The sequence below is a fragment of the Homo sapiens genome, chromosome 1 (assembly GCF_000001405.40).
Source record: "Homo sapiens chromosome 1, GRCh38.p14 Primary Assembly".
Taxonomy (NCBI): Eukaryota; Metazoa; Chordata; class Mammalia; order Primates; family Hominidae; genus Homo; species Homo sapiens.
This window is the reverse complement of record NC_000001.11, coordinates 223,021,041-223,044,944: the sequence shown is the minus strand read 5'-3', so window position 1 is coordinate 223,044,944 and position 23,904 is coordinate 223,021,041. Positions and strand designations below refer to the sequence as shown.

At 49.0% G+C, this 23,904-nt stretch overlaps 15 annotated features.

Moving 5' to 3' along the window:
• Positions 6,255-6,934: an enhancer, noted in NCBI's record as "H3K4me1 hESC enhancer chr1:223211353-223212032 (GRCh37/hg19 assembly coordinates)". NCBI's record gives its function as "activates a minimal SCP1, AML or CMV promoter by ChIP-STARR-seq in naive H9 embryonic stem cells {active_cell/tissue: H9 hESC(naive)}" and the evidence as "EXISTENCE:reporter gene assay evidence [ECO:0000049][PMID:30033119]".
• Positions 7,615-8,295: an enhancer, noted in NCBI's record as "H3K27ac-H3K4me1 hESC enhancer chr1:223209992-223210672 (GRCh37/hg19 assembly coordinates)". NCBI's record gives its function as "activates a minimal SCP1, AML or CMV promoter by ChIP-STARR-seq in naive H9 embryonic stem cells {active_cell/tissue: H9 hESC(naive)}" and the evidence as "EXISTENCE:reporter gene assay evidence [ECO:0000049][PMID:30033119]".
• Positions 13,465-14,222: an enhancer, noted in NCBI's record as "OCT4-NANOG-H3K27ac-H3K4me1 hESC enhancer chr1:223204065-223204822 (GRCh37/hg19 assembly coordinates)". NCBI's record gives its function as "activates a minimal SCP1, AML or CMV promoter by ChIP-STARR-seq in naive and primed H9 embryonic stem cells {active_cell/tissue: H9 hESC(naive and primed)}" and the evidence as "EXISTENCE:reporter gene assay evidence [ECO:0000049][PMID:30033119]".
• Positions 14,223-14,980: an enhancer, noted in NCBI's record as "OCT4-NANOG-H3K27ac-H3K4me1 hESC enhancer chr1:223203307-223204064 (GRCh37/hg19 assembly coordinates)". NCBI's record gives its function as "activates a minimal SCP1, AML or CMV promoter by ChIP-STARR-seq in naive and primed H9 embryonic stem cells {active_cell/tissue: H9 hESC(naive and primed)}" and the evidence as "EXISTENCE:reporter gene assay evidence [ECO:0000049][PMID:30033119]".
• Positions 14,789-15,243: a mobile genetic element, noted in NCBI's record as "direction; reverse". NCBI's record gives its function as "suggested as a possible recombination region in PMID:20951845".
• Positions 14,789-18,209: a biological region, named in NCBI's record as "1q41-q42 HERV-mediated distal recombination region". NCBI's record gives its function as "recombination_partner: LOC107325941".
• Positions 14,981-15,738: an enhancer, noted in NCBI's record as "OCT4-NANOG-H3K27ac-H3K4me1 hESC enhancer chr1:223202549-223203306 (GRCh37/hg19 assembly coordinates)". NCBI's record gives its function as "activates a minimal SCP1, AML or CMV promoter by ChIP-STARR-seq in naive H9 embryonic stem cells {active_cell/tissue: H9 hESC(naive)}" and the evidence as "EXISTENCE:reporter gene assay evidence [ECO:0000049][PMID:30033119]".
• Positions 15,246-18,209: a mobile genetic element, noted in NCBI's record as "direction; reverse".
• Positions 16,369-16,421: a non allelic homologous recombination region, noted in NCBI's record as "sub-region 2', recombines with sub-region 2 within the 1q41 HERV-mediated proximal recombination region". NCBI's record gives the evidence for it as "EXISTENCE:nucleotide sequencing assay evidence [ECO:0000219][PMID:25246103]".
• Positions 16,424-16,583: a non allelic homologous recombination region, noted in NCBI's record as "sub-region 1', recombines with sub-region 1 within the 1q41 HERV-mediated proximal recombination region". NCBI's record gives the evidence for it as "EXISTENCE:nucleotide sequencing assay evidence [ECO:0000219][PMID:25246103]".
• Positions 18,013-18,770: an enhancer, noted in NCBI's record as "NANOG-H3K27ac hESC enhancer chr1:223199517-223200274 (GRCh37/hg19 assembly coordinates)". NCBI's record gives its function as "activates a minimal SCP1, AML or CMV promoter by ChIP-STARR-seq in primed H9 embryonic stem cells {active_cell/tissue: H9 hESC(primed)}" and the evidence as "EXISTENCE:reporter gene assay evidence [ECO:0000049][PMID:30033119]".
• Positions 18,914-19,588: an enhancer, noted in NCBI's record as "NANOG-H3K27ac hESC enhancer chr1:223198699-223199373 (GRCh37/hg19 assembly coordinates)". NCBI's record gives its function as "activates a minimal SCP1, AML or CMV promoter by ChIP-STARR-seq in primed H9 embryonic stem cells {active_cell/tissue: H9 hESC(primed)}" and the evidence as "EXISTENCE:reporter gene assay evidence [ECO:0000049][PMID:30033119]".
• Positions 19,589-20,264: an enhancer, noted in NCBI's record as "OCT4-NANOG-H3K27ac hESC enhancer chr1:223198023-223198698 (GRCh37/hg19 assembly coordinates)". NCBI's record gives its function as "activates a minimal SCP1, AML or CMV promoter by ChIP-STARR-seq in naive and primed H9 embryonic stem cells {active_cell/tissue: H9 hESC(naive and primed)}" and the evidence as "EXISTENCE:reporter gene assay evidence [ECO:0000049][PMID:30033119]".
• Positions 20,265-20,940: an enhancer, noted in NCBI's record as "OCT4-NANOG-H3K27ac hESC enhancer chr1:223197347-223198022 (GRCh37/hg19 assembly coordinates)". NCBI's record gives its function as "activates a minimal SCP1, AML or CMV promoter by ChIP-STARR-seq in naive H9 embryonic stem cells {active_cell/tissue: H9 hESC(naive)}" and the evidence as "EXISTENCE:reporter gene assay evidence [ECO:0000049][PMID:30033119]".
• Positions 21,617-22,292: an enhancer, noted in NCBI's record as "NANOG-H3K27ac-H3K4me1 hESC enhancer chr1:223195995-223196670 (GRCh37/hg19 assembly coordinates)". NCBI's record gives its function as "activates a minimal SCP1, AML or CMV promoter by ChIP-STARR-seq in primed H9 embryonic stem cells {active_cell/tissue: H9 hESC(primed)}" and the evidence as "EXISTENCE:reporter gene assay evidence [ECO:0000049][PMID:30033119]".

The window sequence follows — 23,904 nt, the reverse complement described above, 5'->3', positions numbered from 1 at the left end:
CCCAACTAATTTTTGTTTTTTGCGTTTTGGGTTTTTTGGATTTTTTTTTGGTAGAGACAGGGTTTTGCCATGTTGCCCAGGCTGGTCTCAAACTCCTGGGCTCAAGTGATCCACCCACCTCAGCCTCCCAAAGTGCTGTGATTACAGGCACAGCCACTGCACCAGCCACCATCACCTTTCTTCTTTGCACCAAGTTTTGAGTAATTTTTTCAGATCTATCTTCCAGGTAATTAATTATCTCTTCTGTTATTTACTCTTTCTATTGTGTTTTTAAATTCTTCTGGCTATTTTTCTTAATTTTTAGAAGTATTTTATTTTTCAATTGACCTGGTATTTTTTTATATATATAGTAAGCTTATTCTTTTCTCAGTTTTTTGTTTGTTTTTTGTTTGTTTGTTTGTAGTGTTGTTTTGTTTTATTTTTTGTGAAATGGAGTCTCACTCTGTCACCTGGGCTGAAGTGGAGTGGCGCGATCTCGGCTCACTGCAACCTCTGCCTCCTGCTTCAAGTGATTCTTCTGCCTCAGCCTCCCAAGTAGCTAGGATTACAGGCACCCACCGCTACACCCAGCTAATTTTTTGTATTTTTAATACAGACAGGGTTTCACCATGCTGGCCAGGCTGTTCTCGAACTCCTGATCTCGTGATTTACCTGCCTTGGCCTCCCGAGTGTGTTGGGATTACAGGCATGAGCCACCACACCTGGCCTTTTTCTTGTATTTTCAACTTTACTTTTAAGTTTCTGTAATAAGTTTAGGCATATCTATTTTATAATCTACATTTGATAATTTGAATATTTTATTTTCTTGGGAATTGAATTCTTAGTTGTTGTTTTTCCTGATTCTTGTTCTTGGTAGCTTATTCTTCATTTGAAATTTTGAGCTCATATATATTTTTTTTGACAAGGGGTCTCACTGTGGTTTCTCAGGCTGGAGTGCAGTGGTGTGATCTCAGCTCACTGCAACTTCAGCCTCCTGGGCTTAAGTGGTTCTCCTGCCTCAGCCTCCTGAGTAGCTGGGACCACAGACACACACCACCACGCTCAGCTAATCTTTTATATTTTTGGTAGAGACTGGGTTTTGCCATGTTGCTCAGGCTGCTGAGTTCATATTTCTAGGCTTATGGGGGGACTCCTGGCCTGGGGTAAAATCATCACCTGTCTGTTTCTGTCAGGCACCCCAAGAGCATGCCAACCACTGTTCATATTTTAGTTTTTGTTCTTCGAGGTTACATGGCCTCATCTTACTGGTTCTCTCATTTACTAATGAGTGAAACAGTCTTTGTTCATTTTACTTTTTATTTATTTATTTTTTTTTTGAGACTGAGTCTCACTCTGTCATCCAGGCTGGAGTGCAATGGTGCAATCTTGGCTCACTGCAACCTGCACCTCCTGGGTTCAAGGGATCCTCCTGCCTCAGCCTCCAGAGTAGCTGGGATTACAAGTGCCCACCACTCCCAGATAATTTTTGTAATTTTAGTAGAGATGGGATTTCACCACGTTGGCCAGTCTGGTCTCGAACTCCTGACCTCAAGTGATCTGCCCACCTTGGCCTCCCAAAGTGCTGGGATTACAGGCGTGAGCCACCGTGCCCAGCACATTTTACTTTTTAATACTTTAACTATGTGTGGTTTTGTGTGTGCTCATTAATTTGATTCTTACAACACCAAAGAACTAGAAATAATCTAACAATCCATCATAGGGAACTAGATAAGAAAATAATAGTACATTCATTAGATGGAGTACTAGTCAGTTACTGAAAAGAAAGGTGATGTATGTATGTTGATATAAAACATTCTGAAAAGTTATGTAAAAAATAAGAAGATGCAAAAGAGCCTTATAATTTGCTGGCATATTCATCTTAAAATACTTATTATATATGTATATCTATGTGTATATTTAATTATGCATAAACTATGATTTTATTTTATTTTTTGAGACAGGGTCTTGCTCTTGTAGCCCAGGCTGGAGTGCAGTGATGTGATCTTGGCTCACTGCAACCTCCACCTCCTGGGTTCAAGCAATCCTTGTGCCTCAGTCTCCCAAGTAGCTGGGATTACAGACATGTGCCACCACACCTGGCTGATTTTTATATTTTTAGTAAAGACAGAGTTTCACCAAGTAGTCCAGTCTAGTCTCGAACTCCTCGCCTCAAGTGATCCTCCTGCCTTGGCCTCCCAAAGTGCTGGGATTACAGGTGTGAGCCACTGTGCCTGACAACTATGATTGCTTATCTATGAAAAATGTCTAGAAGAATGCTTTTGTTACGGGTAGTTCACTCTGGGTAATGAGACCAAATAGTTGTGGGACATTTGAACTGTTTGAATTTTTTAAATGAGAATTATATTGTTTAACCTAGGGGTTTTTGTTCATTTTGTTTGTTTGTTTAAACATGATAAAGTAAGAGGAGAAACATAAGAAAGACCAGTTTACAACTACGTCATGTATTGCTGCTTCATTCCCACATTCAAAGCCAACAGCCAAATATAAGAACTGGTATGGAAGGAACAATTTTTTTTTTTTTTTTTTTTTTTTTTTTTTTTTGAGACAGAGTCTTGCCTATCACCAGGCTGGAGTGCAGTGACACAATCTTGGCTCACTGCAACCTCTGCTTCCTGGGTTCAAGCGATTCCCCTGCCTCAGCCTCCCAAGTAGCTGGGACTATAGGTGCGTACCACCACGCCTGGCTAATTTTTTGTATTTTGGTAAAGATGGGGTTTCACCATGTTGGCCAGGATGGTGTTCATCTCCTGATCTCGTGATCTGCCTGCCTCGGCCTCCCAAAGTGCTGGGATGACAGACGTGAGCCACCGCGCCCCCAAAGGAACAATTATAATGCATCTTGGCAGAACACCTCTTACCCATGCTCCTACCCAAGCCTGCCTCTCCCCACCCCAGCATCTTTACCCATCATTTTATTAGTTCTCTAATCACTCTCCCCACAAGGTCTTGAGAAGAGAAGTAAGAATAGGTATTCTCCCTCTTGGCAAAGAGGAACCTGAACCCAGAGCTAGCCCTAAATCCTTAGGGAGCGAGCCAGGCACAGCTGCTGTGCTCCTCAAAGCTCTGCCTAGACAAATACCTCATTGGGGGCTTTAGGAACTTCTCAGAGCCCCCGTGGCCCCTGTTGGTCAGCCTGTAGGGAGTCCAACTACTTTGAGGCCAAGGCAAGTCCTATTTCCAGTGTAGCCTTAGGAGCCCTTCCACTCAAAACTGAACATCAGAGAGCTCTCAACATGCTCTAAATTCTTGCATAGATGCCAGGCATAATGCCTGCCTTCAGGGCAAAATTAACCTCCTGATCTTCTCCAGTTTGATCAGAAGCCAGTAAAGACTGTCAAAACCAGCAGTCACAAACCACAGCCTCTGGGCATGCGGTGGGAAGCAGACAGGTGAGCTCTCCCTCTCCTCCTCCCAACCCCCAACTCTTGCCTCCCACAGACTCATGTGGACACTTCTCCAGTCAAAAGAAAAAAGAGTGGTGAGGGGCGACAAGAACCTCAGGGGCCCCGTGCCCCACCCAACTTCATGAAGAAAGACCTCTTAGGAAAATTGAGAGGGAACAAAATCTCTTGTCATTTCCATTTAGAGATTCCACTGCCATCTGGCTTTTCGTAGCATTTGGACTTTCTCAAGGTGAAAGCACAGGAATTATTCTTGATTGCTCTGGTCTCACCTTCCATAAACAATTCCTTTTCAAGTCTCATCAGACGCTACATCCAAAGTACTTCCCAAATGTGTTACTTCTCTCCCTTTCACTGCCACAGCCCCTGTCAAAGCCATCGCTCTCTCTCTCAGTCCTACAAGCAATTCTACCAGTAGCCAATGGGTAATCAGAGGAGGTCACTGCTGTGCTATAAGCCCTCTAAGAACTTGCCAACATGGCTGGGTGCGGTGGCTCACGATTGTAACCCCAGCACTTTGGGAGGCTGAGGCAGGCAGATCCCTTGAGATCAGGAGTTTGAGACCAGCCTTGACAACATGGTGAAACCCCATCTCTACTAAAAATACAAAAAGTAGCCAGGCATGGTGGTGCACGCCTGTAATCCCAGCTACTCAGGAGACAGAGGTGGGAGAATCGCTTGAACTCAGAAGGTGGAGGTTGCAGTGAGCTGAGATTGTACCACTGTACTCCAGCCTGGGTGACAGAGTGAGACTCTGTCTCAAAAAAAGAAAAAAAAAAAAGAAAGAAAGAACTTCCCAACAGCACTCAGAAACCATCGCAGCTGTGTACGTGGTTCCCATGATCTTCCCTTGCTGTTCCCTCCAATCTTGCCCCTCCCCCTGCCCCTTGCCCATGACTCTGCAGCAACACATAGGACCTCTCTCTGTCCCTCAAGCATGCCAAATATGTCTCAGCCCTGGGGTCTTCTTCTCCCTCCTCACCTGGCTGGCTTCTTATCCTCATCCCACTCTCAGCTCAGGAGAGGCCCTTGACACCCCTCTGGTCTCCTGTCACCCCTCCATATGCATTGCTCAGTTCTATTTTCATCAAAGCAGTCAGCGCCATCTGCAATTAACACAATATTTTATTTACTTGTGTAAATAAGTCTGGGTCCCCCGAGGAGGTAGGCTCCAAAAGAGCAGGACCCTCACTGTTCACCTGTCTTGTCCACTTCGTGTCCTCAGCATCTGGGATGCTGTCTGGTAACACAATGGAAATGCTGCCAAAGAATGAGTTCTTTTTCCAGAAGTGGAAACGGCATGATCAAAGCCATCCACATCCTCTTGCTGCTGGGCCAGGATCAGCGTCCCTGCTGGAGTGAGCTTTGCACCTGTTGTACAAAGTTAGCTGGCCCAGCCAGGAGGCTCATCAGGGGGTGTGCCTGAGTTTCCTCCATGCAGAGCAGTTTCGGGAGCAAGAGGTCTTGCTTTTGTCAGACACAGACATACTCTCAAAGTGGGGAAAAGAGCGCATGGAAAATCACACACTGGCTCTGGAAGCTTCTGTCCAGTAGGGCAACACACATCACCCTCCACTGAATGTTCATTGGCCAAACAAGTCTTGTGGCTGCATCTGGTTTCATAGGGCCAAAATGAGTAATCCACCTTTCTATTTTTCTGTCTTTCCTTGTGTTTCCTTAATTATTAATTTTAGAGTCAGAAAACTAAGCTATATTCGATAAAGAACTATATGGCACCCCTTTATAGATGGGGCAATGTCCTCTCCAAGACTCATAGGGGAGATGATATCAGATCTGAGTTTTAGGAAGGCCAGGAATGGATTAGAGGGGCAGGCTGGAGACAGGGAGACCAGTTAGGAACCTGGCCCAGCTGTCTCTGTGGGAAGGAAAGAAGAGGAGGAACTGAGTCCCAGCGATCTGTTTTGGGCAACCGGGTGAATGGATGCCCTTCCCTGACCGGGGAAGTAGCTGTTGAGAACGTGTTGAGAGATCCCACCAGGAAGGGTGCCTAAACCCAGGTAAAGACCCCAACCAACCCCAGAGTCCGTGAACTCAGCCCATCGGTGCTGTTATGTGGAACCAAGGGGGCAGCCGTCTGGGTTAGCAAAGGCACAACCTGCAGGGCTAGGGTTGAGGGGAGGTGAGGGAGGTGCCAAGGTGCAGAATTGAAGGAGGCTCCTCTCCCAGGTCTCAGGGTCATGCAAGGGCAGGCTGGTCCTGGGAGTGATGCCTCCTTAGAGTTGACATCCTCGCGCCTCACTCACCCTAATCTTGGCCCGACCACAGAATATGTCAGGCCTGAGACATTCTTCCCAGGGATCCTGTGAGCACAGTCTCCTACCTGCTGGGCTGAAACTCTCCAGGACCCCCTGTCTGATGGGATGGTGGACACTGACTTGGCCTTCCCGGTCTGGTTTTCCCACTACCTGCTGCTTCATCTGACCCTGAGATCTTGCCATCTGGATTCCCGTGTTCCCTGCGTGGTCTGTACTAAGCAACCTGGACTTGACAGCCCCCCGCCAGACTCCACACATTCCTCTGTGCCCCAGGGACCTGGCCTTGCAGCTGCTTTTGGGCCCCCGCTCCAACCTGACTCCACCATGGTCATGGCCTAAAGAGCTCTGTGTAGGCTGCTAACTATACAAAGGCCCCTCTGTGAATGCCAAAGAAAGCGAGCAGCTCAGGGGCAGCCGACGCCAAGCAGGGCCCCGGGTCCTTGGGCCAGCCCCAGTGCCAATCCATGTCAGGCAACCATGGCATTTACACAGGCGGGCTGCCATCCTCTACGAATCTGGAAATGGGTCTGCCTGGTTACAGGAATCCCATAAACACTCATGCAGAGGCAGGCGGGGCCAAAGACCCAGAAGGCTCCCAATTTTGTTTGAGAGGAGAAACACCCAGTCCCCAAAGCCACTGAGCAAAACATGTGATCCCCACCTTTAAACACTGCAGGGACTATGTCTCACTGAGGAGGAGGCACACACGTGGGAGCTGCAGGGAGACTCAGGCGTGGAGCCCAACCATGCCCCGGGCCCAACGAAGCCCCGAGCCCAACCATGCCCAGAGCGGGCCCTCCCTGAGCAAGAGCTGTTCTACCCCAGGGTGTGGGCTCCACCTTTGCTGGCACAGCGCAGACAGGAGGTAAAGTCACCAATGGCCAATCTCAACAGTCCAGGAATGATGAGATGTGGACGCGCAGCCTCGGCCACCCTGCGCCCCAGCACTTCTCTGTCCCCAGAACTGCTTCTCTGGACAGAAGGTGTGAGGCCAACAGAACTCCTGGGTCCTCCTCCTTTGGATGGCATGAATTCCTGGGCCCACTTCAGAGCCCATACACCAGCAGAGAATGCCAGCAGGAATCTCCCCTTCTCTGTCCTCTGTCCTGGAGGGCAGCCTCCTGGAGGCCTGGGAGGAGGGAGGAGGCACTATCTTCCCATCTTGGGATTCCTCACCACCGGCTCCTGAAAACAGCCTCGACAGCTCAGGGGGAAGACGCAGTGGACACGGGGGCAGGGAAGTGCTGGCTAGAGAAGGGCGGAGTCCCTCGCCGGGGCTCCACCCTCAGGCCTGTGCCTGCGGACTTAAGTGAGAACAAGCACTCCTGTTTTTATGTCCGAATGTTGCATTTTCCAAGACCACTCTGGCCTGTCATGCCCCCCATCTTGTGCCCATAGAAACCCCAGATCTTAGCAGGCTCAGACACACAAGCGGCTGAACACGGAGAGGAGCAGAGGAACAGAGCGACAAAAAGCAGTAGGGCAGCACGGCAGAGAAGGACCTAAGGGGCCGAGAACAGCTGGACTTCAGGGGAAGACCACCTTCCCACTCCATGCCTCCTCCCGACTCTCCATCCATCTTGCTGAGAGGCACCTCCACTACTCAATAAAATCTTGCACTCATCCTTCGAGACCACGTGTGATCCTATTTTTCCCGCACACTAGGCAAGAGCTCCAGATGATAGAGAAAGCTGTCACACTTTGTCCATTGAGCTGATTAACACACAAGCCATCTGCAGATGGCAAACCTGAAAGAGCCTGTAACACACTGCTCACTTGGGCTTCGGGAGGCACGGACATCCGCCCCTAGATGCTGCGTGGGGCAGGATCCCAAAAGCACTCGCCCCAGCCTCTGTACCTTCCTGTCTGCATGCTCCCGCCAGGGGTTTGATCTGCAGGATGACCAAGCAGGCAACACCCCTGTCGCATGTCCTGCGAGGGGAATCAGGGAACTGTCCCATTTCACCAGCAGCCCCATGTCCTGCGAGGGGAATCAGGGAACTGTGCCATTTCACCAGCAGCCCCATGGCCCTCCTTGCCCATGATTTGCTGGTGGGGTAGACACAGGAGGAAGGTGGTCCATGGAGTGGGGGGTCCCACCCCTTCATGCCCACCATCTGAGAAGGCCAGGACTTCTTGTGTGGTTTTGGGAGATGAGAATCCAGCTGCTCCCTGGTCTGTTGGGCCCTGGGCAGCGCCTGGACCTGAGGTGGAATGGGCAGAGGTGCAGGAAGGGGAAGCACGCCTAGCCCTGCTGGTCCAAAGTGGGCCCATTCCTGTCGCCGTTGCACGCAACTTCTTGCTGACAGCCTTTCTTGCTGCTGCTTCTTGGCGGCAGCAGCTATAATTTCCCCATATAGCATCTAATTTGAACTTCTACAAGCCTCCTCCCCTTAAAATGCTTAATTATTATGTTCTTCTAAAATATCAGAGGGAATCTTCCCAGCCGTAAGAATTTCCCCGGAGGAGAAAAGGATAAACCAGCAATTAGTGTCATGAACTCAGATCCTGGAAACTCCATGTGGGTCCAGGGGATGTGTTCAGCCCCAGGACTCCACCTGGGAGGGCGCGCCTGCTAGGAAACCAAGGGCACGCTGACTTGCCTGAAAGGCTGTTAGGGTGGCAAGCATGGCATGGGGCTAAAGTGCACCTCTGCCTTCACTTCTGCTGCTTCTGACTCATGTTTTTCCCTGGGCGCCCTGCTTCTCTGACAGCACAAAGCCACTCTCACCCCCAAAGCCCACCAAGCCACAGTGCTCAAGCAGGGTTAGTCCTTTACTGCTTTACTTCCTTTTCCAGAACATTACCTTTACCTTCATTCAAAAATCTCGTTTTTAAAAAAATTCTAGGTCTCCTGGTTATGTCATGTCATGCCTTGAGTCACCTGTCCTTGGAATGACCCATGGCCCTCCCCTTCCCTCTCAGCCTCTTGACTTCCTCCTTACTAACGACAGTCCCATTCCATCTTGGCCACACTGTCCCCTGAACATGCCATGTCATGTCATGACTCATCAAGACCACCAATGACTTCTCCAAAACCAAAACGTCACCCTTTGGGCTCTGAACACAATTCCTATCTCCTCCTTGTCTGGAACACTCAATTTCACTATTCCTACTCGGGGATGTCAGTGAACCCTGTGCATGCTCACACACACACACCCCCCTTCTATTTTCTCCCCATGTAACAAGGCTTCTCTTGATGAGAACAATGGTCTCATGAACATGTCACCTACCTCATGTCCCTAAGACCCCCAACCAGCCTGGGCTGGATTTGATGTTCTCCAGGGAATTCGATGCTCTGTCCCAGCTTCTGTGCACAATTGGCTTTCTCTGCCCTCCCACCACATGGCTGAATGGGCGAAAATCTAACCGAAGCACGTGCTAGAGCAACTTAACACTGCAGCGCCACTTACCTATCCTTTCATTCCTGTTTGTTTAGATACGCAGCATTGGGCCCTAGTGATAGAGGAGCTAGAAAGAAATTATTTAGGTAGATAGTAAGGGCAAAAGAGTCCTTGGCGGAATTTCCCTTTTAACAAAAAGCAGCCCCCAAATAATTTATTTTCTAACAAAAAGCAGCCTGAAAAATTGAGCTGCAGACATAGATAAGCAAGCTGGAAGCTTGCACGAGTGAATGCCGGCAGCTGTGCCAATAGAAAAGGGTGACCTGGAAGCCAGGCATGTTCAGCTCAGAGACTCCATCTTCCCTTTTCTTTGTCACCACATGTACAGTAAAGAAGCAGGTAACATGGCTCCTGCCAGGTAGAGAACTCATCTGCATAATAAAAGATTAGGGTGGGGCAGCCAGATTTTTCATGCCCTGTGCAAATGGCACACCTAGTCCTAACCAGTTTTTTGTGCCTTATGCAAATGGCACATCTGGTCCGACAAATCTTTCATGCCCTATGTAAATCAGACACCACCTCCTCAAGCTCATCTATAAAATCCCTTGCATTTTGCCACAGACCAGAAAACCCGCTCAGGACCCCTCTCTCTTCAGGAGAGAGCTTTTCTTTTTCTTTTTTCTTTTGAGACAGAGTCTCGCTCTGTTGCCCAGGCTGGAGTGCAGTGGTGCGATCTCCGCTCACTGCAAGCTTCGCCTCCCGGGTTCACGCCATTCTCCTGCCTCAGCCTCCCAAATAACTGGGACTACGGCGCCCACCACCAAGCCCGGTTAATGTTTTTTTGTATTTTTAGTAGAGATGGGGTTTCACCGTGTTAGCCAGGATGGTCTCGATCTCCTGACCTCGTGATCCACCCGCCTCGGCCTCTCAAAGTGCTGGGATTACAGGTGTGAGCCTCCGTGCCTGGCCGAGCTTTTCTTTTTCTTTTGCCTATTAAACTTCCACTCTGAAGCTCGCTCCTTGTGTGTCTGTGTCCTAGTTTTCCGTGGCTGTGAGATAACAAATCTTGGGTATTTACCCCAGACAATGACACCGCTTCACTAGGACTGTAGGACAACCTGGGCTGGCCTCCTGTATGGGCAAGGAGAGCAGTGCAGGGACCCCGCAAAATTCCCACGGAGAGAGATGTGATTCCCAGGCTAGCATCTTTCGCTGGCACAGGCTTGTGAGAGCAGAGTGTGAGTATCCTGTTCCAGTGCAAGTCAGTGTTGTCACGCTGGTGATCTGAAATAGCTTTGGTGGGAATATTTACACCATGGAAATTGGCAGATTCTATGAATTGGTCCTGTCTGTATTCCAGAGGGCCACTAACTAGCACACCACTGCCAGCATCTGCCACAGAGGCCAGAACCCAAGGCTCTGCCACAGTGATTGCCTAGTTTTGGTGGGGACAAACGGCTGCCCTGGGCTGCAAGGTAACTGAAACTCTCTCTCTCTTAGGGAAAGAGACTGCACCAGGTGCTACAGAGGGAACCAGTCACTTTTACTTATTTTGTTTTAATGTTTTTTTAGAGACAGGGCCCACTCTGTCACCCAGGCTGGAGGGCAGTGGCACAATCATGAAACCACCTTTGCAAAAATCATGACAGTGAGGAAATTATGACAGTGAAAGAGATCTGATCTAAGCAACTCCATCTTGCCTTTAATCTTCAAACTGCCCTTGCTCATTCCTGGGCATGAGCTAAGTTAACTTGTTGAGAAATTTAGTTTATAGTTTAAATGATAATAGCCCTTCCCAAAATTAATTGGCCTTTGTAAAACTAATAAAAGGCCACCAGTTTAGGAGGATGAGAGGGGCTTGAATTCTGCTAAGATACAGATGTAGTTAAATAATTACCAACCATTATTCCAGAAGTCACAACACTTGTAACTTCCTCAATTACTCCTGCAGATAACATCAGTATTGTACAACCTAAGACTGGCCTTTTGAGATGTCTTTTCAAGCTTTTGCCGATACCTGGACCAGCCCCTCCTCTGTGGCTTCCGCCCAGAAGTGGCTCAGTGCTCACAAGAGCAGTTTTCCACACCCCTGATTCCATCCCCAATGAGTCAGCCTTCCCCTTCCCTCGCCCTGTGCCTGCCAAACTATCCTTCAAAAACCCTAGCCTCTGAATTTTTGGGGAGGCTGATTTGAGTAATAATAAAATTCATCTCATGTTTGGCTAGCTCTGTGTGTATTAAATGCTTTTTCTGTTGCAATTCCCTGTCTTGATAAATCTGATCTAGGCAGTGGGCAAGATGAACCCATTGGACAGTTACAATCATAGCTCACTGAAGCCTCAAACTCTTGGCCTCAAGTAATCCTCCCACCTCAGTCTCCCAAGTAGCTAGAACTACAAGCACAAACCACTACACCTGGCTAAGTTTTTTGTTTTTTGTAGAAATAGAGCCTTGCTATATTGCCAGGCTGGTCTCAAACTCCTGGCTTCAAGCAATCTTCCCACCTCAGTCTCCCAAATTTGTGGGGTTATAGGTGTGAGTCACTATGCCTGGCCTTAAGTATTTTAATTCTCTCTCATGACCAATATAATGCAAATGCTTTAGATATTTCATTTGTTCTCATTGATAGGTACTTCAAACAGCCCATCAAAATGCCCAAACTCAGAAATACTGTCTTATAATCAGATAAACTAATTGCACTTGAATAGTTAATTCCTGCTGATAGCACAACCTAAGTCAGTGTTTTAAAATACTCTGTTTATAAGGCCTATGACATGCCCCCTTAAAAGTGTGACAGGAAAGGGGTCCTGATCCAGACCCTAAGAGAGGGTTCTCGATCTCGCACAAGAAAGAGTTCAGGGCAAGTCCATAAAGTGAAAGCAAGTTTATTAAGAAAGTAGAGGAATAAAAGAATGGCTGCTCCATAGACAGAGCAGCACCAAGGGTTGCTGGGTGCCCATTTTTATGGTTATTTATTGATTATATGCTAAACAAGGGGTGGGTTATTCATATCTTCCCTTTTTAGACCATAGAGGGTAACTTCATGACGTTGCCATGGCATCTGTAAACTGTCATGGCGCTGGTGGGAGTGTAGCAGTGAGGATGACCAGAGCTCACTCTCGTTGTCATCTTGCTTTTGGTAGGATTTAGCCGGCTTCTTTAATGCAACCTGTTTTATCAGCAAGGTCTTTGTGACCTGTATCTTGTGCTGACCTCCTATCTCATCCTGTGACTTAGAATGCCTTAACTGTCTGGGAATGCAGCCCAGTAGGTCTCAGCCTCATTTTACTCAGCCCCTATTCAAGATGGAGTTGCTCTGGTTCAAACACCTCTGACAAAAGCAATAATGCAGTGAGACTTATAATGTCCCTTGTCAGGACACGCTGGCCTTTCTAACGGATTTTATAGAACCCCTGGATCTGGGCACTGTGGCAGACCAGAAGTTGAGGCCTAAGCACAAGGCTAAGTGTCTCATCCAATCCTCTCAGCAAGCCTGTGAGGTGGGCACTATTATTATCCCCACTTTACAGATGAAGAAACTGAGGCCCAGAGAGGTTAAGGAACTGAGGCAAAGTCACACAGCTTGTAAGTGGACGGGCTGGGTATGAGTCAGGCTGTCTGTCCACAGAATCTGCACTAGAATCCACAGCCCAGGAGGATTAAGTAGGGGAGAGCCTGAGCAATGCCTGGACCAGGAGGCCTGGAGGGATGCTGATCTTGACTTTCACTTTCCACAATAGGGTAAGAGCATTTGCTTCCTGGAAGGAAGGGTCAGGATGTGAGGTTTAAGAATACAAGGACTTTGCCCCCATTCCTAGGGAGGAAGAAAGATGCAAGGAAGTTACAGGAAAAGAGGTGATCAGACTCTGTTGGCCACTTGGATTTTTTTAGCAACTGCTACAGGGTGGGGCTTATTCATTCCCCAGGGCCATCAGTGGATTTGACGTCTTCCTAAACGTGTGCCTCAGAGCATGAGCGAGGCTGCCTGAGGATCCAAGAGAGGACTGCTGCCAGTGACTCACTCCCAATAACTCGAGGCCCGCACCTCCACCCAGAACTGATGAGGGAAACAAACCAACCCACGTGAACACCATCGTCGGCACCAGGAATGGAAGTCAATGCCAGGGAGGACTTGGGCCAGAGGAGGCTGTCCAAGCTGAGGATACATCCACACCCTTCTCTGCTGCTTTTTAACCAATAAGATTGAACATCTTTGGTGTGGAAAGGACACTTTTTGTCCAACTTTGCCCAGAGGCAGAGAAGTGAGCCCTAGGGCTTCCAGCCCAGGACTCTGCCTAGGCCGGGATCCCATTGCTCCACTCACTCCAGGCCAGCCAGGTCTCAAGGCATTTCCCATGGGGAGTTTCACCCCAGTGCCCATTTCCCATTCACCACAGCCTAGAAGGAGCGGTCATCGATCTACCCCAAGCAGCCTGCAGCTTCCCAGCTCCCAAATCTACCACCTCCCTTTTTGCTTCAAGGCAGAGGTGTCATCGATCTACCCCAAGCAGCCTGCAGCTTCCCAGCTCCCAAATCTACCACCTCCCTTTTTGCTTCAAGGCAGAGTCTCCCCTGACCTCCCCTCTGACCACCGTCAACCCACAGAGGCCACTGCATTGCTTTAGGGGCTTTACCATATCTGTGAATTGTGCAGTAACATCTGTCAGTTGCTTCTGTTCTCTAGTTGTTTCTGTTATGCTCGTTGAATATGCATGAGAAGTAAAGGGTTGAAGTGTTCTGCTCTCTGTGCCTCCTCTAAAAGCTTAATCAATGGTGGTGTTTACATGTAAGAGTGAGAGAGGGCACGTGTGAGCCAATGAGGTTGGGTGCCATTTCCTCATCTAGACCAATGCTTCTTTCCTTGCCTGCAGGTTAGAATCACCCCGGAACTTTCAAAAACCCTGATGCCTGGACACATCCCGACCAATTACATCAAAATCCACGCGGAGGGACCCAGGCACGAGTATGTTTCAAGCTCCCCAGCCAAAGCTGAAAAGCAGCACACAGGCTCTGCTTCTGAAACCACCTTTGCAAAAAGCATATCAGTGAGAAAAATTGTAACAGTGAGTTGAGCTAACCCACTCCCCATCTTGCCTTTCCCTTAATTATTCCTGGGCTTTTGGGCTGAGCTAACATTGGAAGCCATTTAGGTTATAGTTTAAATGATAATAGCCCTTCCCCCAGATTCAACCAGCTTTGTAAAGGTAATGAAAGGCCATCAGTCTGGGGGGCAGAAAGCAGCCTGATCCTGCTAAGATGCAGACGTAAATTGCCAGCCATTCCTGCAGATAACACCACTATTGTAGATTAGCCTTTGAGATATCTTTTCCAGTGTTTTGCATGTCTGACACTGATGATTGCACCTGAACCTGCCAGACTGCTTCTGTGGCCCCACACAGGAGTGATTCCGCTTAGGAGGACAGCTTCTACCTGCTGTGGTTTCATCTCTGCCTCAACCAATCAGGAGCAAGTCTAGCCACCCCCACCCCTTCCCCACACTGCCTTTAAAAAACCCCTGACCTACAAGTTTTGGATGAGATTGATTTGAGTACTAACCCAATCTCCCATGTTGCGTGGCCAGGCTCTTGTCTATTAAACTCCTCTTTACTGCTGTGACAGGAAAATAAACCTTGGGACCCCCAAGTCACTAAGCTAAAGGGAAAAGTCAAGCTGGGAGCTGCTTAGGGCAAACCTGCCTCCCATTCTATTCAGTCAACCCTCTACTCACTGAGATAGATACGTATCTGATTGCCTCTTTTGGAAAGGCTGCCAGGCCTCTGAGCCCAAGCCAAACCATTGCATCCCCTGTGACTTGCCCATATATATACGCCCAGATGGCCTGAAGTAACTGAAGAATCACAAAAGAAGTGAATATGCCCTGCCCCACCTTAACTGATGACATTCCACCACAAAAGAACTGTAAATGGCCGGTCCTTGCCTTAACTGATGACATTACCTTGTGAAAGTCCTTTTCCTAGCTCATCCTGGCTCAAAAAGCACCCCCACTGAGCACCTTGCGACCCCCACTCCTGCCCACCAGAGAACAAACCCCCTTTGACTGTAATTTTCCTTTACCTACCCAAATCCTATAAAACAGCCCCACCCTTATCTCCCTTCGCTGACTCTCTTTTCGGACTCAGCCCGCCTGCACCCAGGTGAAATAAACAGCCATGTTGCTCACACACAGCCTGTTTGGTGGTCTCTTCACACGGACGCGCATGAAATTTGGTGCCGTGACTCGGATCGGGGGACCTCCCTTGCTAGATCAATCCCCCGTCCTCCTGCTCTTTGCTCCGTGAGAAAGATCCACCCACGACCTCAGGTCCTCAGACCAACCAGCCCAAGGAACATCTCACCAATTTTAAATCAGGTAAGCGGCCTCTTCTTACTCTCTTCTCCAACCTCTCTCACTGTCCCTCAACCACTTTCTCCTTTCCACTCTTCAATCTCTCCCTTCTCTTAATTTCAATTCCTTTCATTTTCTGGGAGACACAAAGGAGACACGTTTTGTCCGTGGACCCAAAACTCCGGCGCCGGTCACGGACTGGGAAGGCAGCCTTCCCTTGGTGTTTAATCATTGCAGGGACGCCTCTCTGATCATTCACCCACGTTTCAAGGGTGTCAGACCACGCAGGGACACCTGCCTTGGTCCTTCACCCTTAGCGGCAAGTCCTGCTTTTCTGGGGAAGGGGCAAGTACCTCAACCCCTTCTCTCCTTGTCTCTACCCCTTCTCTGCTTTTCTGGGAGAGGGGCAAGTACCCTCAACCCATTCTCCTTCACCCTTAGCAGCAAGTCCCGCTTTCCTAGGGGGCAAGAAGCCTCCAATCGCTTATTTCCACGCCCCAACCTCTTATCTCTGCGTCCCAATCCCTTATTTCCATGCCCCGACCTATTTCTGCACCCCATCCCTTATTTCCACACCCCAACCTCTTATCTCTGCACCCCAACCCCTTTTCCCACTTTTCTGGAAGGTAAGAATCCCCAAACCCCTTCCATCCGTTTCTCTACTCTCTCTTTTCTCTAGGCTTGCTTCCTTCACTATGGGAACCTTCCACCCTCCATTCCTCCTCCTACTCCCTTGGCCTTTGTTCTCAAAAACTTAAAACCTCTTCAACTCACACCTGACCTAAAACCTAAACGCCTTATTTTCTTCTGCAATGCCGCTTGACCCCAATACAAACTCGACAGTAGTTCCAAATAGCCAGAAAATGGCACTTTGAATTTTTCCATCCTGCAAGATCTAAATAATTCTTGTCATAAAATAGGCAAACGGTCTGAGGTGCCTGACGTCCAGGCATTCTTTTACACATCAGTCCCTTCCTAGTCTCTGTGCCCAGTGCAACTCGTCCCAAATCTTCCTTCTTTCCCTCCCGCCTGTCCCCTCAGTACCAACCCCAAGTGTCGCTGAGTCTTTCTAATCTTCCTTTTCTACAGACCCATCTGACCTCTCCCTTCCTCCCCAGGCTGCTCCTCGCCAGGCCGAGCTAGGTCCCAATTCTTCCTCAGCCTCTGCTCCTCCACCCTACAATCTTTTTATCACCTCCCCTCCTCACACCTGGTCTGGCTTACAGTTTCGTTCCGTGACTAGCCCTCCCCCACCTGCCCAGCAATTTACTCTTAAAAAGGTGGCTGGAGCCAAAGGCATAGTCAAGGTTAATGCTCCTTTTTCTTTATCCCAAATCAGAAGCGTTTAGGCTTTTTCATCAAATATAAAAACCGAGCCCAGTTCATGGCTCATTCGGCAGCAACCCTGAGACACTTTACAGCCCTAGACCCTAAAAGGTCAAAAGGCCATCTTATTCTCAATATGCATTTTATTACCCAATCTACTCCCGACATTAAATAAAACTCCAAAAATTGGAATCTGGCCCTCAAACCCCACAACAGGACTTAATTAACCTCACCTTCAAGGTGTACAATAACAGAAAAAAGTTGCAATTCCTTGCCTCCACTGTGAGACAAACCCCAGCCACATCTCCAGCACACAAGAACTTCCAAATGCCTGAACCGCAGTGGCCAGGCGTTCCTCCAGAACCTCCTCCCCCAGGAGCTTGCTACACATGCCGGAAATCTGGCCACTGGGCCAAGGAATGCCCGCAGCCCGGGATTCCTCCTAAGCCGCGTCCCATCTGTGCGGGACCCCACTGGAAATCGGACTGTTCAACTCACCTGGCAGCCACTCCCAGAGTCCCTGGAACTCTGGCCCAAGGCTCTCTGACTGACTCCTTCCCAGATCTTCTCGGCTTAGCAGCTGAAGACTGACACTGCCCGATCGCCTCGGAAGCCCCCTAGACCATCACAGACGCCGAGCTTCAGGTAACTCTCACAGTGGAAGGTAAGCCCGTCTCCTTCTTAATCAATACGGAGGCTACCCACTCCACATCACCTTCTTTTCAAGGGCCTGTTTCCCTTGCCTCCATAACTGTTGTGGGTATTGACGGCCAGGCTTCTAAACCTCTTAAAACTCCCCAACTCTGGTGCCAACTTAGACAATACTCTTTTAAGCACTCCTTTTTAGTTATCCCCACCTGCCCAGTTCCCTTATTAGGCTGAGACACTTTAAATTATCTGCTTCCCTGACTATTCCTGGACTACAGCTATATCTCATTGCCGCCCTTCTTCCCAATCCAAAGCCTCCTTTGCGTCCTCCTCTTGTATCCCCCCACCTTAACCCACAAGTATAAGATACCTCTACTCCCTCCTTGGCGACGGATCATGCACCCCTTACCATCTCATTAAAACCTAATCACCCTTACCCCACTCAACGCCAATATCCCATCCCGCAGCACGCTTTAAAAAGATTAAAGCCTGTTATCACTCGCCTGCTACAGCATGGCCTTTTAAACCCTATAAACTCTCCTTACAATTCCCCCATTTTACCTGTCCTAAAACCAGACAAGCCTTACAAGTTAGTTCAGGATCTGCACCTTATCAACCAAATTGTTTTGCCTATCCCCCCTGTGGTGCCCAACCCCATACACTCTTTTGTCCTCAATACCTTCCTCCACAACTCACTATTCCGTGCCTGATCTTAAAGATGCTTTTTTCACTATTCCCCTGCACCCCTCGTTCCAGCCTCTCTTTGCTTTCACTTGGACTGACCCTGACACCCATTAGGCTCAGCAAATTACCAAGGCTGTACTGCTGCAAAGCTTCACAGACAGCCTCCATTACTTCAATCAAGCCCAAATTTCATCCTCATCTGTTACCTATCTCGGCATAATTCTCATAAAAACACACGTGCTCTCCCTGCCAATCGTGTCTGACTGATCTCTCAAACCCCAGCACCTTCTACAAAACAACAACTCCTTTCCTTCCTAGGCATGGTTAGCGTGGTCAGAATTCTTACACAAGAGCCAGGACCACACCCTGTAGCCTTTCTGTGCAAACAACTTGACCTTACTGTTTTAGCCTAGCCCTCATGTCTGCGTGCAGCGGCTGCCACTGCTTTAATACTTTTAGAGGCCCTCAAAATCACAAACTATGCTCAACTCACTCTCTACAGTTCTCATAACTTCCAAAATCTATTTTCTTCCTCATACCTAATGCATATACTTTCTGCTCCCTGGCTCCTTCAGCTGTACTCACTCTTTGTTGAGTCTCCCACAATTACCGTTGTTCCTGGCCCAGACTTCAATCCGGCCTCCCACATTATTCCTGATACTACACCTGACCCCCATGACTGTATCTCTCTGATCCACCTGACATTCACCCCATTTCCCCAAATTTCCTTCTTTCCTGTTCCTCACCCTGATCATGCTTGATTTATTGCTGGCGGTTCAACCAGGCCTAATCGCCACACACCAGCAAAGGCAGGTTATACTATAGTACAAGCCACTAGCCCGCCTCTTAGAACCTCTCATTTCCTTTCCATCGTAGAAATCTATCCTCAAGGAAATAACTTCTCAGTGTTCCATCTGCTATTCTACTACTCCTCAGGGATTATTCAGGCCCCCTCCCTTCCCTACACATCAAGCTCGAGGATTTGCCCCACCCAGGACTGGCAAATTAGCTTTACTCAACATGCCCTGAGTCAGATAACTAAAATACCTCTTAGTCTAGGTAGATACTTTCACTGGATAGGTAGAGGCCTTTCCTACAGGGTCTGAGAAGGCCATGGCAGTCATTTCTTCCGTTCTGTCAGACATAATTCCTCAGTTAAGCCTTCCCACCTCAATATAGTCTGATAACAGATGAGCCTTTATTAGTCAAATCAGCCAAACAGTTTTTCAAGCTCTTAGTATTCAGTGAAACCTTCATATCCCTTACAGTCCTCCATCTTCAAGAAAAGTAGAATGGACTGAAGATCTTTTAAAAACACACCTCACCAAGCTCAGCCACCAAAAAGGACTGGACTACACTTTTATCACTTTCCCTTCTCAGAATTCAGGCCTGTCCTCGGAATGCTGCAGGCTACAGCCCATTTAAGCTCCTGTATAGACGCTCCTTTTTATTAGGCCCCAGTCTCATTCCAGACACCAGACCAACTTGGACTGTGCCCCAGAAAACTTGTCATCCCTAGTATCTTCTGTCTAGTCATACTCCTATTCACCGTTCTCAACTACTCATACATGCTCTGCTCTTGTTTACACTGCCGGTTTACACTGTTTTTCCAAGCCATCACAGCTGATATCTCCTGGTGCTATCCCCAAACTGCCACTCTTAACTCTTAAAGTAAATAAATAATCTTTGCTGGCAGGACTATGCTGAATCTCCTAAGGCACTCTCTAATCAGATATCCTGAGTCATCCCAATTCTTAGACCTTTTGTACCCATTTTTCTCCTTCTGTCATTCCATTTAGTTTCTCAATTCATCCAAAACCATATCCAGGCCATCACCAATCATTCTATACGACAAATGTTTCTTCTAACATCCCCACAATATCACCCCTTACCACAAGACCTCCCTTCAGCTTAATCTCTCCCACTCTAGGTTCCCACGCCGCCCCTAATCCCGCTTGAAGCAGCCCTGAGAAACATCGCCCATTCTCTCTCCATACCACCCCCCAAAAATTTTCGCCGCCCCAACACTTCAATACTATTTTATTTTTCTTATTAATATAAGAAGGCAGGAATGTCAGGCCTCTGAGCCCAAGCCAAGCCATCACATCCCCTGTGACTTGCACGTATACGCCCAGATGGCCTGAAGTAACTGAAGAATCACAAAAGAAGTGAATATGCCCTGCCCCACCTTAACTGATGACATTCCACCACAAAAGAACTGTAAATGGCCGGTGCTTGCCTTAACTGATGACATTACCTTGTGAAAGTCCTTTTCCTGGCTCATCCTGGCTCAGAAAGCACCCCCACTGAGCACCTTGCAACCCCCACTCCTGCTCACCAGAGAACAAACCCCCTTTGACTGTAATTTTCCTTTACCTACCCAAATCCTATAAAACGGCCCCACCCTTATCTTCCCTTCGCTGACTCTCTTTTTGGACTCAGCCCGCCTGCACCCAGGTGAAATAAACAGCCATGTTGCTCACACACAGCCTGTTTGGTTGTCTCTTCACACGGATGTGCATGAAAAAGGCTAATTCAAAACTCAAAGGAATGCAACCATTTGTCTCTCACCTACCTATAACCTGGAGGCTCCCTCTCCACTTCCTTTACTTCCAGTTGTCCTGCCTTTCCCTATCGAACTGATGTTCATCTTACACATATTGATATCTCATGTCTCCCTAAAATGTATAAAACCAAGCTGTGCCCCAACCACCTGGGGCACATGTCGTCAGGCCCTCCTGAGGCTGTGTCATGGGTGCATGTCCTTAACCTTGGCAAAATAAACCTTCTAAATTGACTGGGACCTGTCTCAGATATTCGAGGTTCACACTGCAATGCCGCGGTCTTTATTTGTGCAGCAGGCAGGAAGAACCTGTTGAGCGGTTACACTGCTCCAACATTACTTTGCATGTAAACCCTGCACAGATCCTATTGAAGGGAAGATTATGATTCTGCAGGGAGGAAATGGAGCTGAGATTCTGCATTGCGAACAAGCACCCAGGTGGGGGTGGTGCTGCTGGCCCCACAGGCCTCACTTCGAGTAGCAAGACACTAGGTTACTTGGAACTTTTTAGAACTGCCTTGCATACCACCCCATCTTGCCCCTCTCACACATTTTGTGGTTGCTTGATTAACCTCTCACTAGACTGAGGGCAAGGATACTCTCTGGCTCCCTACTGTATCCCAGGTTGATAGCACAAGGTAGCGTTCCATTATTGCATGCATGCATGAAGTGGTTAAATGAATAGAATGAATTTCAAAATGCCCCAAAACATGGTCTGTTAAATGCTCCCAGCCCAAACAGGCCCAAGTGCCTATTGCTTGTGGACTGCACCCAATATTCTCTCCCTGGGACAGCCCAGAGCCCACCTGGCTGATGCCTGAGCTGCTAACCACCTGAGGCCAGGAGCTTAGAGACTCAGAAGTCAGATAGGTACATCCTGAACTGAAACAGAAACCAGTGGAGGCTGCCTGAAGCTTCCTAAGGAAGGGTGGGCCCAGCCTAGATGGGAGAGGAGAGAAGAGCGGAAGGTTAGGCTGGGGGAGGAGGAAAGGGCAGGGCAGGAGGGCTGGCCCCAGGAGAGAAGGGCCTCTAATGATGGTAACATTTGATCTGCCTCTCCTTCCTGCTAATCCTAAACACAACAGTGTGAAATCTGAGCAAGTGTGAATGCCTCAGGCTCCAGCTGTTTTTCATATCAAGCCCCAGTTCCAGCCTGTCACAGAGAGAAGCCCCCATGCTGAGGACGCAGTAGTGAGAGGCTGCAGGGCTGGGGACTAATCCCTGCAAAGTGGTGGGGAGACATTGCAGGCTGTGGGGACAACCGTGGGGAACCTGGCCAGTCTCTCTAGCCCAGCTGCCACTGTGGCTCTGGGTGAACAGCCCCCATTTCTGCCCCTGGAGACAACTGGTTCTGCCTTCCTGCCTGTGTGAGTGTCTCCAGGCCTTTGGGATGCAAACCAGGCAGGCAGGGGATGGGCAGGGGATGGGCGGGAGCAGCTGCCTCCCTGGGAAGCTGCAACCCTGGGGGAGTCAAACAGAGGCAAACCCCAGCCAGGCCTAAGCCACAGGCCAGGGGCAGGCTGGGGGCAGCTCAGTTGCTGGGGCTGGATTAACCAGAGGAGACGAACAAAGGCAGCTTCAGAGGGATTACCGGGCACATTAGATGGGCTGGGCCATTAACCCAGATGGAATTGCTCTCAGGGAGGAAGCGCCTGGGGCTGGAGGTGTTGAGGAAGTGCCTGCTGGCACCAGTGTCTAACTGTGGCACTGTGAGGAGGCTGGGGCTCCTGTTTCCTTCTCTGGAATTCACTCCTTGAATAGGGGCCTGGGTGGGACTAAGGGAGCAGCAGGCTGGGGCAAGAGTTTCCTGCTGCCTGTAAGGAGAGACAGGACCCGGCCACCTTGCATTTTTATTTGTCTCACCTTAAGCCCTGCCAGTGCCCTTGGCAGGTAGATGTAGGGAGGCACTGTTCGGCCTCAGAGCTGATGGGGATGTTGGCCTCAACCTGTGACAGATGCCTTTTGGAGGTGTCTTCTCCACCTTCCTTCTGCTGCCCAGGGAGAAGCCAGAGTGATGTTCTCGTGGCTCTGTTGCTCCTTGGCTGCGATGGTTGAACATCATCCTGCAGAGACCTGACCCCGGGGAACTGACCCAGAGGCCAGACTGGCCCAGTCAGATTGTCGCTCTTGAAATTTGCAACTCGGACTCTAACAGCCTGGGTCAGTTTGCTGCTGGAGCTGGGTGGTGCGGACCCAGGGCTGAGGGCACCATTTTGGAGTAGCCCCGACAAACCAAGTGCAAAGTGAGCAGAGAAAGTCAATCCAGAGAGAGAGAGGGAGGAGAAAGAGAGAGAGAGTGAAGGAAGCGGACACAGAGACAAACCGAGAGAGACAGCAGAGACAGAGACCAGGGGAGAGATTTCTTGCTTCCAGCCCCTTGGGAAGCCTGCCCATGGGTTCCATGAGGCACCCCAATTCTTCTCGCAAAAATCTTTTTACTCTGCTTAAAATAGACCAAGCTAGTTTCTGTTCCATAAAAGTCCGTCATTCAGGGCTGAGTGTAGTGGTTCACGCCTGTAATCCCAGCACTTTGGGAGGCCGAGGCAGTCAGATCACCTGAGGTCAGGAGTTCAAGACCAGCCTGGCCAACATGGTGAAATCCCATCTCTACTAAAAATACAAAAATTAGCTGGGTGTGGTGGCATTTTCCTGTAATCTCTACTACTTGGGAGGCTGAGGCAGGAGAATCACTTGAACCAGAGAGGCAGAAATTGCAGTGAGCCGAGATCATGCCACTGCACTCCAGGCTGGGAGACAGAGCAAGACTCTGTCTCAAAAAATAAAATGTCCATCATTCAAATAAGGTTCATCCATGGAGGTAGCTAAGGCCAGGCTGCAGGACAATGCTGAGCCCAGAGGCCAGGTCAGAACCAGGGATGTCCAGCCTGGATGGTACTTCGTCTGTCTCCAAGGAGTCCTGGGAGCTGAGGGGAGCACAAAGATCACAGACTGGCCTTGACTTTGGTCCTGATGTGGGTGGGGGCGTGTGTGGATCCTGTGAGGTCTACAAGCTGCCTCTTCCCTCAGGAATCCATGACTTCGTCCGGCCCATTGGCCCCCAGCTCTGCTCACGGCCATCAGAGATTTTGGGCAATGAGACTTGCTACCTCCACCCTGGCTCCTTCCTGATATCAGGGAGCAATTGGCCAGGGAATAGCCCAATATCCAGTTTCTGGGAAAGGTGGACAACATTATTTGAACCTGAAACATGCCAGAGGTAATCAGATCAGTCACAGAAAACTGAGAAGCCTGTAATTTATGGAGAAGAGCTTGGAGACAGGAACCACCAGCCCTCTCCAGTTGTCCCTAGGGGGTG